At 39.8% G+C, this 15,523-nt stretch overlaps 1 protein-coding gene across 6 annotated transcripts in view; it reads right to left on the bottom strand.

Annotated features, from left to right (window-relative positions):
- Positions 1-15,523, bottom strand: part of HSDL2 (hydroxysteroid dehydrogenase like 2) — a 92,298-nt gene that overhangs the window by 42,711 nt on the left and 34,064 nt on the right. For 3 of the 6 annotated variants that reach the window (NR_036651.2, NM_032303.5, XM_011519091.4), the window contains 2 exons: positions 12,751-12,854; positions 10,737-10,835 (listed from right to left, as the gene is read on the bottom strand). Coding sequence is in view for 5 of the 6 variants with exons in the window: in NM_032303.5 (NP_115679.2) it covers positions 10,737-10,835; positions 12,751-12,854 (203 nt within the window). In the remaining variant the exon portion in view is untranslated. The remainder of the gene's footprint in view (positions 1-10,736; positions 10,836-12,750; positions 12,855-15,523) is intronic. The other 3 variants (NM_001195822.2, XM_017015203.3, XM_047423969.1) reach the window with 1 other exon arrangement.

Genomic DNA, 15,523 nt, shown 5'->3' with positions numbered 1-15,523 from the left:
TATACTTTGCCATTCATCATGTTGTCTATTGTATCTCTCCCAATTAGACTATAAGTTCCATAAGGACAGCGATTGATATCTCTTTTGTTCTCTGATGTATCTTCAGCAAACAGAGCACAGCTTGGCATAAAATAAGTGTCCGATGAATGTTTATTGTATGAATAAAATTTAAAATTCTTAAGAGTCAAAGAAGGCTTTTTCTGACTTTGTTACCCCAGGATCCCAAAGACCTACAGGTTAGGGAAGTAGAGGAAAGGGCAGAGGGGAGGACAAAGTACAAATGGTGGTAACAAACTCTTAAATCTCCCACACTAAATGGTAAACTCCTTGAGGGTAAGGATTGTGTCACATTCATCTTAGTACCCATGTTGCCTTGCACCGAGTAGATAGTTAATAAATTATCTGTCAAATGCATAACAACTGAATAGTGCAGAGAACTGTGCCTGGCATGTAAGAATGAATGTTTGGAAAATGAATGAATGTAAAGTGAGAAGTCAGCTGGGCACAGTGGCTCATGCCTGTAATCCCCGCACCTTTGGAGGCTAAGGCAGGCAGATCTCCTAAGGTCAGGAGTTCAAGATTAGCCTGGCCAACATGGTGAAACCCCATCTCTACTAAAAATACAAAAATTAGCTGGGCATGGTGGCCTGCGCCTGAAATCCCAGCTACTTGGGAGGCTGTGGCCTGAGAATCGCTTGAACCTGGGAGGCAGAGGTTGCAGTGAGCCAAGATCGCACCACTGCACTCCAGCCTGGGCAACAGAGCAAGACTGTCTCAAAAATCAAAAAAGAAAGTGACAAGTAACATAAGGGAGGTACAAAGAGGGAAAATAATATGTTAGAACTTTGTTACCTCAGAGACCTCCCTTTTTAACTTCCTAACTCTCTGTATCAACTTTAATGACAACAGTGATGTGAGGAAGGGTAATTGAGAAAGGGTGAGAAAAGGCAAAGAAGTTGAAAAAGAGAGGCACCATAAAGTGTAAGCTTTTAAGTTTTTTGGCTGTGACCCATAATAAGTAACATTTTCATATATGAAACAAAAGCTTATGAAACAATACTGACCCTTCCTCCATGCAATCCACTCTAATATTTTCTATTCGATTCCACTAGAAATAAAACAAAACAACAACAAAACAACTCTGGCTGCTACTCACTAAATCAATTTCACAATCCACTAAATTGATTTCATGCCTCACCAACGAGTCTTGACATATAGTTTGAGAAATATTGAAGAAGTGCCTTTTTCACTCTCATCTTTTTCCCCACTGCAAAAAACAACACTCTTCAGAAAATCTTAAAAGAATTGTCTGCTACAGAAACATAAAGGAAACAAAGAAGCAATAAAACATGGTTTTGGTCCCACAGTGAGGACCAGGGAAGAAAGGAGTCTTGGTCAAATTGCAGAAGAAAGGAATTTAACCAAACTGATTCCTGGACTACTTAGAAGAAAAAGAAAGATGGTGATTGGAAAGCTGGCTGCAACTGTCAAATATTCCTAAGAGTTACCTCAGCAGCATGCCCCAGTACTCAGTAAATTCTCACCCATAGTCCTTTGTTTCCCATCGTCTACACCACAGGCCACAGAATCTTCAGTACTGCTTGGAGCCGGGGAACTCCCTTTATCCAGTACATAGCAGATAGGAAGCAACTCTGGATATGTTCCACACAGCTATATGCGGCAGTTCAGTTCAAGAGTACCACCAGGGCTTTAATAATACTTTGCATAAATGCTGGATTAAATATGCTTTTAAAACCTAACTTCTACCAACCTAGACATACACTAGGTAAAAAGGCCAAAGAAGTATCCCCAATACCCATGTCTGCTGCGTGATAACTGTCCAATCAATAGTTGTTGGATGATGAATGAATAAATAAAATAATGCCAGAAGAAAGAAGAATGGGAATAAACAATATACTAATATAAGGGTCCTTACAGGATATAGAAAGATGTTAAATGATACGACTGGGAGAATCAGGAAAATCTGGAATGACAGAACTCCTATAAGATAAACGACCTGGTTTTTCAAGAAATAAGTGGCAAGAAAAAAAATGAGTGTAACTGCTTTAGATTAAAAACACTTGAGACTTATCAAACAAATGCAATGTATGGAACAATTTAGATCCTGATGTAAATAAACCAACTGCAAAGAAAACATTTATGAGACACTTGAGGGAATTTGAACACTGACTAGATATTAGATGATATTAAGGTATGTTTGTTAGCTATGATAATAATTTTGTCTTTTTAAAGAGACCGAATCATTTAAAAATACATATTGAAGTATGTACAGATGAAATGATGCTATGATTGAGATCTGCTTAAAAATAATGTGGCGAGGGCCAGGCGCATTGGCTCAGGCCTGTAATCCCAGCACTTTGGGAGGCCGAGGCGGGTGGATCACTTGAGGTCAGGAGTCCGAGACCAGCCTGGCCAACATGGCAAAACACCCTCTCTACTAAAGATACAAAAATTAGCCGGGCACAGCGGTGGGCGCCTATAATCCCAGCTACTCGGGAGGCTGGGGCAGGAGAATCACTTAAACCTGGGAGGTGGAGGCTGCAGTGGGCTGAGATCGTGCCACTGCACTCCAGCCTGGGTGACAGAGTGAGACTCTGCCTCGAAAAAATAATTAATCAATTAATTAATTAATTAATAATATAATAATAATCTGGTGAGGTTAGAAGTGGAGTTAAAGGGAGATGGAGATGTGAGGGCTGGTAAAACTAGATTGGCCATGTGGTGAAATCGCTGAAGCGGAATAGTACGTGATGTACTACTCTCCCTACTTGTATACATGTTTGTACATATGTTTGACTTTTTTCATAATTAAAAGTTTGAAAAATATGCAACAAAGGGCTTTAGAGGTTATTTATAATACCTAATTTTATATAAGGGGAAGCTAGGTACAGACAGCTACTGCAGCTCACACAGCTAAGAAGAATATGTGCAATACAGAAACTTAATTATTTTTATTTTTTCGAGGGACTGGTTCTTTATTTCATAAAGACACTTGTCAATATTCAGTATCAAAACTGCTGCACTATCGATTTTTCTTTCTCCCAGTTGGCCCCAAAGAGACCACATCACAGGCTAGTACATTTTAAACCAATAAGCTGCAGGATGTACACCTAACAGACTGCATAGAAACCTTGCCAGGGCAAGGAGCAGTGGCTCATGCCTATAATCCCAGCACTTTGGGAGACCAAGGCGGGTGGATCACCTGAGGTCAGGAGTTTGAGACTAGCCTGGCCAAAATGGCGAAACCCTGTCTCTACTAAAAATACAAAAATTAGCCAGGCATAGTGAAAGGCGCCTGAAGTCCCAGCTACTTGGGAGACTGAGGCATGAGAATCGCTTGAACCCGGGAGACAGAGGTTACAGTGAGCTGAGATCATGCCACTGCACTCCAGCCTGGGCGACAGAGCAAGACTCCATCTCAAAAAAAAAAAAAAAAAAAGAAGGCTTACCAGAAAGTGGGGATTGTGTAGGAAAGAAACCTTAAAAGAAGAGCAAACTGCCAGCCCACGGACTACAGAGGCTATCACAGCCAGATGGGGGTGACCAGGGTGCCACAAACCCAAAGAAGCAAAGAGAAACTGAATAATTTTAAATACTAATGTGATGTTTGGATATTTTATCAAAATTACTTCTAGCAGGGCACAGTAGCTCACGCCTGTAATGCCAACAATTTGGGAGGCCGAGGTGCAAGGATTTCCTGAGCCCAGGAGTTCGAGACCAGCCTGAATAACATGGCAAGACCCCATCTCCACACACACATACACACAAAAACTGAAAAACTAGCTGGGCATGGTGGTATGCACCTGTGGTTCTAGCTATTTAGGAGGTTGAGGCAGGAAGATGGCTTGAGCCCAGGAGGTCAAGGCTGCAGTGAGCTGTGATCATGCCACTGCACTCCAGCCTGGGTAACAGGGCAAGATCTTATCTCAAAATAAATAAATAAAAATCAGTTCTATCATTTCTTTACATGAACTATATTATATGGTTAATTGAGAATCTGGAATACAGAATAAGTATGCTAATAAGAAAATTAAACAAAATGTGACACCAAGAATATGAAAGCTCAAAGGCTCTCACAGAAGAAAAGATACAGATGGAATTAATTTCCATAATTAACAGATTATGGAAATCTATTTGAACTTTACAATCAAGAGTTCACACATTTGAGGAGTATCTAGGTAGATTACTTCTCTGGTTGCATTATATTTGTATGGTTTATTTGCCCTAACAAAATTTGTAAACCACTAAGGGCAGAAACAATATGGTATTGCTTAATTCTCCAATAGTTCCAAGTTTGAGATATGACTAAAAAGTAATATTTCAATTTTAATAAGCATTTAAAAACTTACATGGAGATTTTATGGTAGTTCAGAATAAGTTACCAACTTACCAAGTCCACTTAGTAGATAGGAACATTACACAAAAATTTCCAGCAAATCAAGTAAGACCTTAATGCTTTAACTATCACATTTAATACTAACACAGCATTAAGTAGTAGAAAGGATGCAAGAACTAAAGTTAAAAAAAGGGAAGAAACTGCATATATATTATGATGAAAAGCATTCCCATTATTGACAAGAACACAACAAATATAGGTCCCATCATTGTTACTATTCAACATTGTTCTAAAAGGATTAGCTAATCTAATAAGAAATGGAAAAATAATTTAACATATAACAAAAAGGCAGAAACACAGTTGTCACTTTTTGTGATAAGACTTTAAACCTAAAAAAACTAGGAGAATCTGCAGAAAACTTCAGTACTAATAAGAGAGTTCAGTTTACTAGTATATTTGTAATAAAGGTATATAGTTTTTATGTTAATATATACTTTAACAAATTAGAAAATATATTGAAAAAATATAAATATAAAATATCTAGTAATATATTTAATTAAAAATGGATGGGACTAGTCTTCTGCTTTTGGAAATATGTTTTCTTTTTTTCACTGCTAGGAGCCAGCATCCCTAACACCACATTGTTCATGGATCAACTATATGGTGACTTATATACTCTAAAGGGCTGTCTTATTACAATAAAACTATAAATAAGCAATAAACATTTCTTAAAAGCATTGCTGGGCTCTCAATAAGTCAAGAGAAAACTACTGGTGAAGGCTAGAGAGGAAGAGAGAGGAGAGTGCAGTAAAGCAAGAAAAAGGAAACCAAGGATGTAAGAATTGGAATATTATTATAGATTATATTATTACCTGCACAGAAAATCCAGGAGACTCTAGATAAATTATTAGACTCAACAAGAAAGTTTAGAAAGGTAGCTGCCTATAATGTTTAAATGCAAAAACATTTCTATACACCCTAGCACCAAACAGAAAATATAATTTTTTTTTTTTTTTTGAGATGGAATCTCGCTCTGTCGCCCCGGCTGGAGTGCAGTGGCACGATCTCGGCTCACTGCAAGCTCTGCCTCCCAGGTTCATGCCATTCTCCTGCCTCAGCCTCCCAAGTAGCTGGGATTACAGGCGCCCGCCACTATGCCCGGCTAATTTTTCTGTATTTTTAGTAGAGACAGGGTTTCACCATGTTAGCCAGGACGGTCTCAATCTCCTGACCTCGTGATCCGCCCACCTCAGCCTCCTAAAGTGCTGGGATTACAGGCGTGAGCCACTGCGCCCAGTCTAATTTTTTTAAAAGATACCATCTAGGCCAGGTGTGGTGGCTCACGCTTGTAATCCCAGCACTTTGGGAGGCCAAGGCAGGAGGATCATCTGAGGTCAGGAGTTCGAGACCAGCCTGGCCAACATAGTGAAACCCTGTCTCTACTAAAAATATAAAAATTAGCTGGGCGTGGGGGCGAGTGCCTGTAATCCCAGCCATTCGGGAGGCTGAGGCACAAGAATCGCTTGAGCCTCAGAGGCAGAGGTTGCAGTGAGCTAATTGTGCCACTGCACTCCAGCCTGGGCGACAGAGTGAGACTCTGTCTCAAAAAACAAACAACAACAAAGATACCATCTAGAATTGTAGCTGCCTCAAAACGAGACGGTTAGAAAGTGTTCCCTTCCCTAATGTTCCCATGCTCATATAAGTCCTTTAGAATTCAGGGACTTCTGGCCTGGGGCAGTGGCTCACACCTGTAATCCCAGCACTTTGGGAGGCCGAGGCAGGTGGATCCCTGAGGTCAGGAGTTTGGGACCTGCCTGGCCAACATGGTGAAACCCCCTCTCTACTAAAAATACAAAAATTTGCTGGGCATGGTGGCAAACGCCTGTAAACCCAGCTACTCAGGAGGCAGAGGTTGCAGTGAGCCGAGATTATGCCACTGCTCTCCAGCCTGGGCGACAAGAACGAAACTCCGTCTCAAAAAAAAGAAAAGAAAAGAATTCAATGACTTCCACATTTCCCTCTTCCCCAAATTCCAGGTTTTGAAGACAGTGTAGTGCTTTTGGCTAGAGACAATTATTAAACTTTTCTCTTATCTTGTCTCTTCAATATAGGGAGTTGTTATTTGGTACTTGTATTTCATATTCCCAGTTATTCTATATAATCCATGTACATTTGACCATATATTAAATGTACTACAGGTTTATTTGCCAGCCATTATTTTCTCTCCTCTTTTTTCTGACTCCTATCTTGAAAACTCTCTGTTCTGACAGATTTGCTGCTTGGTTAACAGCCCTTTCTACAAGACTCTTCTCAAGTGTGGTAGCATATCCACATATCTTCCCTTCATCTTGTCAATAAGTAACTATCTTGGCTGAGTCCCTTTGTATCAGCAACGTACAGATGTTATTCCACTGCCTTCTAGTTTCTGGCATTGAAGATAAAAGAGTCTGCAATCATTTTCCTTTGTAAGTAACATATATTCTGCCTGAAGGCTTGGAAGATTTTTTTATCCTTGAAATTCTGAGGTTCTCCCAGATGTCTTTCTCCCCCTCATAAATTCAGCCTCAAATTTGGTAAACCTTTTAGTTTACATCCATATCGGTCTTTCTTCAGCTCAAGGGAACTGTTTCCTATTATTCATTCAATTATTGTTTCTCCTCTATTTGTTCTCTTTCCAGACCTCCTTCTGGGACTCCTGGTATTTGCATGTGAAGTTCCCCGGATGTGTCTTCTAAGTCTCTCTCCATTTACTTCAGGGTGTTTCTGCTCTTCTGAGATACTTCTTGCACTAGAATATCCAAGCTGCTTACCCAGGTGTTACTCAACATCCAACCCTTCAACTATTACATACATATATATGTATATTTTAAAAACACAATCTATTTTTAGTTCCAGAGAGCATTTTTCATATTATATTTCAATCTCTTATGTCAGGATTTTTGTTTTTAAATTGAGATATTTTTTCTTTAACAGTTTGATTTCACTGAAAACTGCTATTCTGGGTGTTGGTGTTCTGTTTATTTTTTCCATGTCTGGATATTGGGTCCTCTTAGCTGTACTGCAATTTTTCTTTGTTTCCTTATAGCACTGTTCACCCTTATATAGTTCGTTTGTTTGTTTGTTTTTTGAGACAGTCTCACTCTGTCGCCCGGGATAGTTTAAATGATGCCAGCTTTGCCAGCAGTAGTAAGTTATCATATCAGATATACCAGTCACTGAATCTATTTTGGGACTTGAAGAAGTCTCTGAGGTCTCCTCACTTCCACTCCTCAAGGATAGGAAATACTTATCTTGCCTGTTGAGTCACCCTGTTGAATCCTCAGATCTCCGTGGTCAAAGCCCTTCTGAGTATCTGTTCTTTCTCAAGTTCTCTCACCTGGCTCCATTCTGTCCTCTAGCTCAGAGAGAACAGTCTTTCACAAGCTTCTCAAGTTCCTTCTCTTACAGAATCAAGTCTTACTCATTCCTTCATAGGCTCACCTGCCCACCGTCCTAGCAGCTGCTCCAATCAGGGGAAAGGGAGGGACGGCAGGGACATGAATTCCAGTAGTCATCTAGAAACCCCCTCTGCCGGCAAATTCAGTGAAAAAGATTCCAATTTGCCATCAGTAGAAATGTTTTCAAAAATGTAATAAGGCCGGTGCAGTGGCTCATGCCTGTAATCCCAGCACTTTGGGAGGCCGAGGAGGATATATCACTTGAGGCAAGAAGTTCAAGACCAGCCTGGCCAACATGGCTAAACCCCCTTTCCACTAAAAAAAACTACAAAAATTTTTTTTTAAATGTAATGAAGAATATGAAGACTTTCCAAAGGAATCCAAAAATATCATGCATTTACAAAGATCTGAGTGACTATTACGGGCAGAGCACTACCCTAGGAGCAGAAACACCAGTATTGATTCCTAAGGTGGTTCCTCGTAGAGGGGCCATGTTGATTTTCTGTTTAAATTCCAATGTGAGTATAATCAAGTTTCTGTTCAATTTTTGTTTGTTTGTTTTTTTGAGACAGGATCTCACTCTGTCCTGTCTCAAAAGGCTAGAGTACAGTGGCATGATCACGGCTCACTACAGCCTTAATCTCCAGGGCTCAAGCAATCCTACAATCTTAGCCTCACGAGAAGCTGTGACCACAGGCATGCTCCACTGTGCCCAGCTAACTTAATTTTTTGTAGAGATGGGGTCTCACTATGTTGCCTAGGCTGGTCTTGAACTCCTGGGCTCAAGAGATCCTCCTGCCTCTGCTTCTCAAAGTGTTGGGATTACAAGCACGAGCCACTGCAACTGGCCTGTTACATTTTTAAAGAGTGAAATGAAAAAGTGGTTCCCACTATGCATTCTCTTTTTTTGTTTGTTTTTTAACCCACTTCCTGTTTAGGAAAAAAAAAAATTACCAGCGCTCATTTAATTTTACATAAACACACACGTTGAGGCTGAAGCAAATCTGACTGATTTTCAATGTGAAAACATAAAAGTTATTGAGTTATTTCTAAACAGAACTTGTCTCTAACCCTAATGTAACAGAAATGTATATGATGTTACATTAGAATTAGAGACGAGTATTCTCGGGACAAATGGGAAAACCCTAATGTAACAGAAATGTATATGATGTTACATTAGAATTAGAGACAAGAGTATTCTCGGGACAAAGGGGAAGTGGGTTAGTTGAGACAGGGTCTCACTCTGTCGCTGAGGCTGAAGTGCAACAGCATGACCATGGCTCACTGCAGCCTTCAACCCCCGGACTTAAGTGATCCTCCCATCTCAGCTGGGGCCATAGGTGTGCACCACTACACCTAGCTAGGTTTTTTTTGTGTGTGTTTTTTTTTTTAAGAGGCCTCACTATGTTGCCCAGGCTGGTTTCAAACTCCTAGCCTCAAGTAATCCTCCCATCCAATCTCAGCCTCCCAAAGTGCTAGGATTACAGGAGTGAGGCACCACACCCAGTCCCTCTGCATACTGTTTATCATTAGACATACTTTTCTGCGATGTGATTGCCATTTACATATTTTGTTGCTGTTGTTGAGACAGGGTCTTGCTCTGTTACCCAGGATGGAGTGCAGTGGTCCAATCTGGGTTCACTGCAACCTCTGCTTCCAAAGTTCAAGTGATTCTCATGCCTCAGCCTCCCAAGTAACTGGCTAATTTATCCTATTTTTAGTAGACACGGGGTTTTGCCATGCTACCCAGGCTTGTCTCAAACTCCTGGCCTCAAGTGATCTGCCCATCCTGGCCTCCCAAAGTGTTGGGATGGCATGAGCCATCTGTAACCACACCCGGCACCATTTACACTTAAGATAAAAAGAAGTTAAGGTTTTCATGGGCATTACCCACTAGTACATGGAAAAATGTGTAGTGAAATGTTATCGTCTCTTTTTCTTCCTTTAAGCTACTCTGATATACAAGCAGAGGGTAAGAACCTATAAGAAAGACAGGCTTTCCTTTTTTCTCATTTTTGCTGGCTTTCCCTCATTTTTATATATCTTATTGCCCAGCAAGGAAGCCATCAACTTCTGTTATATCATAACTGTAAATTTGCACACCAAGCCCAGGCATACACAGGTTCTTCTGTCATCTCACAGGGTTCCAGGTACTCTGTGAATTCAGAAGAATTCATGTGAAAGGAAAGATAATCCAGCTTTTTCTAAAGGAAAAAGACAAGGCCAGTAAGAATACAAAAATGTTAAAAAGCATTTGTTAGAATGTGTGAGGAGAAAACAAAAGTATGAGAATCTGCAGAATTTAGGTAGTTTCCAGAAACAAAGATGGAGAAAGAGTTGGGGAAGTGCAGCTTCTCCTGTTGGCCTTCAAAAGATTCTTAAAGTGTTCCGGTGGTCAATGTTCCTACAAAGGCTATTGGCTGAAGAGTCACTCATGTAGTCTAAGCCAAGGCAGGAAGATGATTGAAAAGGATCTTATGTTGTACAATAAAAAGTTGAACTTGTTTCCCAACAAACAGATTGAAGTTAGTATTAACAGTCTACATACTCTCACCCTATCATACCCAAGATGCACCTCAAGAGTGTCAAGGACAGGCCGGGCGTGGTGGCTCATGCTTGTAATCCCAGCACTTTGGGAGGCCAAGGTGGGAGGATCACTTGAGGAGTTCGAGACCAGCCTGGCCAACATGGTGAAACCCTGTCTCTACTAAAAATACAAAAATTAGCCAGGCATGGTGGTGTGCACCTATAGTCCCAGCTGCTTGGGAGGCTGAGGCACAAGAACTGCTTGAACCCAGGAGGCAGAGGTTGCAGTGAGCCAAGATCACACCACTGCACTCCAGCCTGGATGACAAGAGTGAGATTCTGTCAAAAAATAATAATAAGTGTCAAGGACAATACATGAAAATCTAACAAATGAAGTTTTTAAAAATACATACCTGTTTTAGGCCATAATGCATTGACTGCAATTTCACCTTTAAATTCTTCTGCCATTCCAAGCACATACATAGACATACCATACTTAGCAATGGTATAAGCTGAAAGAACCACAAAAAATAATAATTTAATTATAAAAGAAATTAATTTGATTAACTTGTGAGTAGAAATAACCAATTTTTCTATTACTATTTTCTTCCTGATATATGTGTGCATGTATGTATATACATATGTATGTGTATATATCTGTGTGTATATACATATACATGTGTATATATATGCATATACATACAACACACCCACGCACACATATATATCAGGAAGAAAATAGTAATACACACATATATACACACACATACATATATACATATATATACACATACTTTTTTTTTTTTTTTGAGACAGGCTGGAGTGCAGTGGTGTGATTACGATTCACTGCAGCCTCTACCTCCTGGGCTCAAGCAACCCTCCCACCTCAGCCTCCCGAGTAGCTGGGACTATGGGTGTGTGCCACCAAGCCTGGCTAATTTTTCAATTTTTTTGTAGAGACAGGGTTTTGCACGTTGCCCAGCCTGGTCTTGAACTCCTGGGCTCAAGCAATCCACCTGCCTTAGCCTCCCAAAGTGCTGGGATTACAGGTACGAGCCACCGTACCCAGCCTCCCTGATATATTTTTGAGAATTCTTTTCAATAATATAAAATATAACTTTTCACTGTACTATTTTGTAAAGAACAGGTTTTATAGAAGTGAACAGAGATGAAATCATTTTATATATCTCCCTCCTAATATTTGATTAAAATAAAAGTGACAGTAATAAACTTTCATTTTTCTTAATACTATGAGGGTAAATTACATTATTATCTCTTAATATGTTTCTTTTTTTGAGATACAGTTTCACTCTGTTGCCCAGGCTGGAGCACAGTGGTGCAATCTTGGCTCACTGCAAACTCCACCTCCCAGGTTCAAGTGATTCTTGTGCCTCATCCTCCGAGTAGCTGGGATTACAGGTGTGCACCACCATGCCCAGCTAATTTTTGTATTTTTAGTAGAGATGGAGTTTCACTATGTTGGCCAGGCTGGTCTCAAACTCCTGACCTCAAGTGATCTGCCTGTCTCGGCTTCCCAAAGTGCTGGGATTACAGATATGAGCCACCATGCCTGGACTTTTTTTTTTTTTTAAGAATGAAAGTGTTTATTTAAAGGGAAACTACTGCTAGTAAAACAATAATAAAAAAAGGCTGCAAATGTATTTAACCTAGTCAATTAAAGTGGAACTTCTTTCAGTTTTGCTCTGTGGGTTCCCATTCCAAGTGCCTTTCCAAATGTTAGTGAACTGTGCTGAAATAAAAACTAAGTGTTTGATACAACTATTTTAAAGGAGGCATCTATATGTAAATCTTGTTACTTAGCATATTTACCTTAAACCATTAGTTTGCTATGAAAGGTAATAGGGTTTTTTTGTCGTTTTTTTTTTTTTTTTTTAGAGTCAGGGTCTCGCTCTGTCACCCAGGCAGGAGTGCAGTGCCATGATCCTAGCTCACTGCAGCCTCAAACTCCTGGGCTCAAGCGATCCTCCCACCTCAGCCTTTCAAGTAGCTAGGACTACAGGTGCATACCTGTCTAAGAAAAATAAAGTATCTCATAGATAGTTTTTAACCAACTTTATAGATGAATAAATTACACACAGTAAAACACACTCATTGGGAAATGAAAGAGCTTTCTGAAATGGTAAAAATCTGTATCTTGATTTGGGTGTTGGTTATATACATTTCTCAAAACTCATCAAACTGAACCATTAAGAGCTGTGCATTTTATTGAATGTCAATTATGCCTCAATTTTTTAAATTACAGATAAAAGATGAAGAATCTACTTTCCAAATGCCACTTAATGACTTGGCATAGAAAATTCAATGATGAATGTTATGTGCAGATTGTGATTACATCAGACATACACAGATTTAATTCAAAACAAATTAAGCACAAACCATCCCCTCACCCTACCACCTACCACCTACCACAGTGCTGTTTGAACCAAACTGGATTTAGGTTCAGTGGTGGACTGATATTGAGGATATGAGCAACTTTGCTCTTTTTCAAATAAGGAATACATGCTTTAGATCTGAAAGCAAAAGAAAATACAAGCCAAATTTAATAGCTTTCTAACAATTTCTCCACTTTTTTTTTTAAGAGAGGGGGCCTTGCTCTGTTGCCCAGGCTGGAGTGCATGACTCGATCACAGTTCACTAAAGCCTTGAGCTCCTGGGCTCCTGGGCTCAAGCAATCCTCCCACCTCAGTTTTCCGAGTAGCTGGAACTACAGGTGTGCAGCACCACCATGCCCAGCTAATTTCTGTACTTTTTTTTTTTTTTTTAGAGACAGGGTCTAGCTTTGTTGCCCAGGCTGGTCTTGAACCCCTTGGACTCAAGCACTCCTCCTACCTCAGACTCCCGAAGTGCCAGGATTATAGGTTTACAGGTGTGAACCACTGCGACCAGCCAACTTCTTTTTTTTTGTTTGTTTTTTTTTTTAATTTTAAGACAGGGTCTCTCTGTTGCCAGGCTGGAGTGCAGTGGCATGATCACATCTCATTGTAGCCTCTGCCTCCCCAGCTCAAGTGGTCCTCTCACCTCAGCCTCCTGAGTAGCTGGGACTACAGGCATGTGCCAGCATGCCCAGCTACCTGGATAGTTTTTGTAATTTTTTTTTTCTTTTTTTAGAAACAGGGTCTTGCTATGTGGCGCAGGCGTGTCTCAAACTCCTGGACTCAAGCGATCTACCCGCCTCAGCCTCCCAAAGTACTAGGATTACAAGTGTGAGCCATCATGCCGGGCCAATCCACTTTTTTTTTTTTTTTGAGACGGAGTCTGGCTCTGTTGCCCAGGCTGGAGTGAAGTGGCACAATCGCTCACTGCAAGCTCCGCCTCCCGGGTTCATGCCATTCTCCTGCTTCAGTCTCCTGAGTAGCTGGGACTACAAGGCGCCCGCCACCACGTCCGGCTAATGTTTTGTATTTTTAGTAGAGACGGGGTTTCACCGTGTTAGCCAGGATGGTCTCGACTCCTGACCTCGTGATCCACCCACGCTCCGCCAAGATACATTTTAAACTACTCCTACAGAGTAACTGAACTTGCTCAGAAATCTGTAGGGAACTGTTTGTTTGTTTTGTTCATAGGGTACTTTTGTTTGCTTTCTAGAATTAAGACAGAAAAAGCAACTAATTTTCATCCTTTGAAATTCTGCTTAATGGCCTGGCAACATGATCTGCTTGATGGAAAAAAACAAATCCTTGATATACTAGCCTTAAGCCCAACTGAGGTTATCCGCAACCACAACCATCCCAAATTCTGCCTCCCTAACACACATATGTAATTTTCAGAGATAGTTAATATACTTGTCGGTCAGCACAGTGGTAAATAACATGAGTGTTCAAGTCAGACAGACCAGGGTTCAAATTCTGCTTCTGCCCCTTCATTGTGTGACCCTGGGAAAATTGTATAGCATTCTAATGCTCAGTTCTCTCCTCTGCAAATGTTGGTAAAAGTCACTACCTTCTATGATTGACCAAGAGATTAAAATTAGATGATATATATGAGATACTTAGGACAATGTATATACTAAACATGAAATAAACAATCGCTGTTGTTAGTATTATGTATGCTGATTTATTTCATCTTAATAGGCATAGTACTTCTACTACATTGGAACTGTAATTTAGTAATATAACTCTCATTACATTCCCAAATTTAATTTTCACCAATATAAAATATGCCTTTGGGTGCAATACATAGCTTTATTTTTAAAAAGTCACTCATTAAGGTAGGTAATTTATTTAAGATTCAGATTCAATATTTCTAAAATGTTAATTTTTACATAATGTCAGCAGCTAAATAATATATTATAGCTTAATTTATAGCTTTATTTTAGCTACAAATTTAGCTTTCGTTTACATTCAATGACTTCTAGGACTTCTAGGACTCTGAACTTGTCCATTCTTTTTTTTTTCTTTACCCTGAACCAGGAGCTGTGAATGAACTAGTTCATTCTTCTTTCAAGTCAGTTTTTTAATTACCAAATGTACAATACTGGTGTTAAAAACAGCAACATCTTACCAAGCTTACCAAATATAATCAATACCACTAGAGGGGTTTTGGTAGATACTGTTTTCATTTCCAAAGGTGCTTCACTTTTATGGAGGTGAGGTGAGGTGGGGCAAACAATATTACAGCTGAGTTTCATTAAAACAGTGAAACTGCAACTCGAAGCATCAAGAAGAAACAAACTAAATCTACTCCAGTAAATAAGACCATATTTTACACTCAAAGGAAAGAGCTCATTTCATTTACATTCTAAACATGGGCTTTCCTTTGATCTATGGGACAAGACCTTTCCATCTGCACTTTGCTGGCCTGGACCTCAACATTGCTAATCCTACATCAGGTGCATCTGTCACAGTAGCATGCCCTCTTATATATTATATTGAAAACTCTTAGCACCACACTTAGATACTGATACCTTCAGCCGAATAAAATAGTTACGTTTACTGAAAACCTAACTATGTGCCAGACTCTGTTTTTATTACCTTTCATGAATTATTTTACTTACTTGGGGTTTCAAACTCAAAGACCTGTAAGGCATTTGAGTAAATGAATAAAGTGAGTTGGTGTAAAAACTAGAGGTTCCTCTTCAAAGACTTTCCTCCCTGTCTAATTAGGAATAAATAGTAACTTCTCTTAGAAGCAAAATGTATTCAAAGACCCGTACTAACATTCTTAAATATCTGCTAGCCAT

The sequence above is a fragment of the Homo sapiens genome, chromosome 9 (genome assembly GCF_000001405.40).
Source record: "Homo sapiens chromosome 9, GRCh38.p14 Primary Assembly".
NCBI classification, from domain to species: Eukaryota; Metazoa; Chordata; class Mammalia; order Primates; family Hominidae; genus Homo; species Homo sapiens.
The sequence above is the reverse complement of the archived record's forward strand: the minus strand, read 5'-3'. Positions and strand labels throughout refer to the sequence as shown.